Source organism: Homo sapiens, chromosome 2 (genome assembly GCF_000001405.40).
Source record: "Homo sapiens chromosome 2, GRCh38.p14 Primary Assembly".
NCBI lineage: Eukaryota > Metazoa > Chordata > Mammalia > Primates > Hominidae > Homo > Homo sapiens.
The window spans coordinates 55,707,711-55,713,079 of NC_000002.12; the positions used below are offsets into that span (position 1 = coordinate 55,707,711).

The 5,369-nt window shown below is 42.1% G+C and overlaps 1 annotated feature.

Moving 5' to 3' along the window:
- Positions 753 to 927: a silencer, noted in NCBI's record as "fragment chr2:55935598-55935772 (GRCh37/hg19 assembly coordinates)". NCBI's record gives its function as "represses an EF-1alpha promoter that drives an FKBP-Casp9 reporter gene in an ReSE screen in phorbol 12-myristate 13-acetate-treated (for megakaryocytic differentiation) K562 erythroleukemia cells {active_cell/tissue: K562(+PMA)}" and the evidence as "EXISTENCE:reporter gene assay evidence [ECO:0000049][PMID:32094911]".

Genomic DNA, 5,369 nt, shown 5'->3' on the forward strand with positions numbered 1-5,369 from the left:
CCCATCATTGTCATTATTCCTAGGGAATAGATTTTTCTTGTGCTGACCACACTCCTGATGCTTTCGTACATGCAACTCAGTCACAAACTGCTACAGAGAAAGTTTTACTGGTTTGTGATAAACAGAATCAATTCACAAGTAGTCTTTGGTGTTTACTTGTGTGTTCTTAGATTTTAACTAAATGCAGTGCCCCCCTCCACACCCCATACCACTGGATTGTTGTCTAACTTTTCACATTGGTTAATTGTTCTTAGGATAGTGGGGTCATTGTTCCTTCTCACAAAACAAAACAGTTTCTTTAAAATCAGGATGAATGAGCAGTAATTGAGCATAAAAGCCTGACCTTGCCAACAGTGCATTGCATGCTTAGTCAAATTAGTTTAGACCATTACAGTTTATATTAATTGTGTTTGTCATTTGTAATTAATGTGAATTAAAATTTGGGGAATTTTAGAATTGTTTTGGTCAATTATGCTAGTGGGAATTTCAGAACATATTAACGTGTTCTCTTGCTCCTTAAAATTGTTCTGTGTTTCTGTGTTTTGTTAACAGAATAATTATGTCTTTGACCTGATTTTGGAATAGGCTATCTTTTGTTTTTTATTTTTTATTTTTTTTGAGACGGAGTCTCGCTGTCGCCCAGGCTGGAGTGCAGTGGCGCGATCTCGGCTCACTGCAGGCTCCGCCCCGCTGGGTTCACGCCATTCTCCTGCCTCAGCCTCCCGAGTAGCTGGCACTACAGGCGCCCGCCACCTCGCCCGGCTAATTTTTTGTATTTTTAGTAGAGACGGGGTTTCACCGTGTTAGCTAGGATGGTCTCAATCTCCTGACCTCGTGATCCGCCCGCCTCGGCCTCCCAAAGTGCTGGGATTACAGGCGTGAGCCACCGCGCCCAGCTGGAATAGGCTATCTTTAATGTTAGCTCGGGGATAATGTGGAAACCATTCTTCACCCAATTTTCTCTGGTTTCCTTTGACAGTTGGCATAAGTCTGATCGGGAGAGAAGCAATCCATACATTTGAATTTTGGCTCATTGTGTAAGATGATAACATTGAGCCAAATTTAGAATGTCTTAGAGTAACTTGAGACTTTCTACTGAAATATGCTTACTGTGTCTTGGATATGAAACAGGTGGCTCAGCAGACAAGCATGAGCTGTTGTAATAAATGGACTATTATATGCAAAGAACCTTTACATTATCATCGTTAACCCTCATTAAAATCAAAAGCTTTTAGCTTCTCACAGCTTATTTTCTTTTAAAGAGATGATGTTCAAGGTCATGCTGTAGTCTTTGAAATGTTTACATTTAAAATAAAACCTCGAGGGCCGGGCCGGGTGGCTCACGCCTATAATCCCCTCACTTTGGGAGGTTGGGACGGGTGGATCACGAGGTCAGGAGTTCAAGACCAGCCTGGCCAAGATGGTGAAACCCCCGCCTCCACTAAAAATACAAAGATTAGCTGGGCCTGGTGGCAGGTGCCTGTAATCCCAGCTACTTGGGAGGCTGAGGCAGGAGAATCGCTTGAACCTGTGGGGCGTAGGTTGCAGTGACCCCAATGCACTCCAGCTGGGTGACAGAGTGAGCCTCCATCTCAATAAATAAATAAATAAATAAATAAAGCCTCTGCTTATTCTTGTGAATCAATCTTATGAGAGAGATGGATTTGAAGTTGAGCAGTAGTATCAACTTTAATTTTTTTTTTTTTTTTTTTCTGAGATGGAGTCTCCCTCTGTTGCTCAGGCTGGAGTGCATTGGTGCAATCTTCGCTCCCTACAACCTCCACCTCCAGGGTTCAAGCAATTCCCCTGCCTCAGCCTCTCCGGGTAGCTGGGACTGCAGGCACGCGCCACCCTCCCAGCTAATTTTTTTTGTATTTTTAGTAGAGATGAAGTTTCACCATGTTGGCCAGGCTGGTCTCCAACTCTTGACCTCAGGTGATCTGCACGCCTCAGCCTCCCAAAGTGCTGAGATTACAGATGTGAGCCACCGTGCCTGGTCAACTTTAATATTTTATTGTCCTTTTCAGTCTCTCATATAGCTTTCAAAAATTATTGAGTTCACAGAAATCCACTCACATTTGCAGTTTCTCTTTCTTTTAGCAATCCTTATCTCTTTTTTTCCTGGTTCTCATACGCATCATTCTCAATATCACTAACCATGCATGGAGCCTATATCATTACGTGAGAAAGCACAGCAATTTCTTTAGTAAATGTGTTCACATTTCATCCCTTTCAATACAGACTCTGATGGACTCTAAGCAAAGAAATGCCAGGGTGAAAAGGGTGTACGAGATTTCTCTTAGGCTTCTGCCTGGTTCTCATTAGGCCTTGTTTAATTTGGTTTTGGCTCTAGCTACATAGCCCAGTTTAATTTACCTCCCCTGCCCCAATATTTTCTTGTGGAAAATTTTAGTTTTAGTTTTTAACTTTTGTAAAATTTGGTTGCTTTTGTTGAAAGATAAACTTAGGCACATTAAAATTTGGAAGAATTTATTTGTGCAGGCAGAGATTCATGAATTGGGCAGCACCAGACCTTAAGCAGTCCAGGACTCCATCAAGGAGGTTTGATGGGAAAACTTTTATAAGGTGTTTGTGGAAGAAAGACAAAGAAAATATTTGATTGGTTAAAGTGGAAAGTTCCTAGTTAGAGGTTAGTTGGTGGTTTCTGATTGATTAAGCTTAAGTTTCATTTTACTGTTGACAATGAGTTAGGTTTTGGTTTACTAGTAGGGGACCCAAGGTGCCGGAGTTGTTTCAGCCTAATGACCTCCTAATTAAATTTTTTAAATACTCTGAATGTTAAGAAAGTATACTTCACTCAAGACTTGAGCTCTAGCTGGGTGTGGTGGCTCATGCCTGTAATCCCAGCACTTTGGGAGGCCGAGGAGGGTGGATCGCCTGAGGTCAGGAGTTTTAGACCAGCCTAACCAACAAGGTGAAACCCTGTCTCTACTAAAAATACAAAAATTAGCCAGGCGTGGTGGCCGGCGCCTGTAATCCCAGCTACTGGGGAGGCTGAGACAGGAGAATTGCTTGAACCCGGGAGGCAGATGTTGCCGTGAGGCGAGATCACACCACTGCACTCCAGCCTGGGTGACAGCGCGAGACTCCGTCTCAAAAAAAAAAAAAAAAAAAGACTTGAGGTCTATACACACTGAAATTGTTATCCCTTTTGATGAAGAGGTAAATTTGGAAATGATGCTTAAAATTTTGGGGTTTGGTTTCAATAATGATTTATTGAATATGTTGAATGTAGGCAGTATGTTGTTTTCACATTTATCATTTAAAAATTAATTTTAACTTTAATTTTAAGTTCTGGGGTACATGTGCAGGATGTGCAGGTTTGTTACACAGGTGAACGTGTGCCATGGTGGCTTGCTGTGCCTATCAATCCATCACCTAGTTATTAAGCCCAGCATGCATTAGCTATTTTTCCTAATGCTCTCCCTTCCCCCACCCCACACCCTGACAGGCCCCAGTGTGTGTTGTTTGCCTCCTTTGTCCATGTGTTCTCATTGTTCAGCTCTCACTTATAAGTGAGAACATGCAGTGTTTGGTTTTCTGTTCCTGGTTAGTTTGCTGAAGATAATGGCTTCCAGCTCCATCCATGTCCCTGCAAAGGACATGATCTTGTTCCTTTTTGTAACTGCATTGTATTCCATGGTGTATATGTACCACATTTTCTTTATCTAGTCGATTATTGATGGGCATTTGGGTTGATTCCGTGTCTCAAGATCTAGAACCAGAAATACCATTTGACTCAGCAATACCATTGCTGGGTATATACCCAAAGGAATATAAATCATTCTATTACAAAGATACATGCACATGTATGTTCATTGCAGCACTCTTCACATTTATCATTTTATTTAATTGTAGAGCATGGCCATGCAGACTTGGCCTAATATAAATTCATGAGCAATGTGCAACTGGGAATTCAAGTGATATATAAGACATTGTTTTCTTTCTTTCTCTCTCTTTCTTCCTTTCTTTCTTTCTCTCTTTCTTTCTTTTTTTTTTTTTTCGCGGAGTTTTGTTCCTGTTGCCCAGGCTGGAGTGCAGTGGTGTGGTCTCGGCTCACTGCAACCGCTATCTCTCAGGTTCAAGCGATTCTCCTGCCTCAGCCTCCCAAGTAGCTGGGATTACAGATGCCCACCACCACACCTGGCTAAATTTTTTGCATTTTTGGTAGAGAAGGGGTTTCACCATGTTGATCAGGCTGGTCTAAAACTCCTGACATCAGGTGATCCACCCGCCTCGGCCTCCGAAGTGCTGGGATTATAGGTGTGAGCCGCCGCGCCTGGCGAGACTCTGTTTTCTCTTGAGAAATTTGCAAGGAGACATATGAGTATAATGAGTCTATATTTTGAGATATAAACTTATTCCTCTCTCCTAATATTTTATGCTATCCTACCATTGTCCCCAACCTAGGAAGTAACTAGGGTACTTTAAGTGCCCCTAGGAGAGATTGTTAAAAAGAAGAAAGAAAATAATAAATACTTTTTGAGTTTCAAAATACATACAGACCATATTTTGAAAGAAATGCTTTGTGAGAAAAGGGGCATAAAGTTCTGCATGCCATAAAAAGTAGATTAAGAAGAATATGGAATGATGTGAGGAGCATTTTTCCAGTATTTTGAAAAGACAGCCTAGAGAGAAGATAAATGCAGGTTGGAGAGGGGTGGTCATAGGGACTTAAAACTTGAGGATCTGTAATAGAGGAGACTTGAGCTGAATGAGTTTTCAGTCCCCCAAAGAGCCATATTCACTTGTGCCTCAGTGATTTTGCTTATGCTGCTTATACGTTTGTATGCGGCTCAGCTGATGTTTCTGTTGGGAGGCCTGCTTTAGCCTACCCGAGTCTACCGAGTTTCTGTAATAAGTAAAGGGTTAACTCAGTAGGCCTGGGTTCCTCAAATTCTGCACATTCCAAAGGTCTTCAGGAAGGGTCCTTGAATGGTTCCTGGGAGGTAACCTCTGAGCCCTTAAAATATCCTTTCTGATAAGACTGTCTTTGTGTACCTGAGACTTTGGTTTACGTGGCTAGTTTATGCTAACAATGTGATTTATGATAAATGCCTGTTTTTGTGTGACTGAGGCCCTGGGCCACACTGTATCAGTTTGACCTCTGGAAGGAGGCTGGAGATAGAGTAAGTAGAGTTGGTCATGCAGGTATCCCACACCTATGTGACTGACCCCAATAAAAACCTCTGAACAAAGGCTTTGTGGGGTTCCCTGGTTGGCAACACTTTGTGCTTGTTATCACGAATTGTTTAACTGGGGGAATTAAGTGCTGTCTGTGAGATTCCTCTGAGAGATGACAACTGGAAGCTTGTTCTTGGTTTCTCATGGAGTCTGCCCTATATACC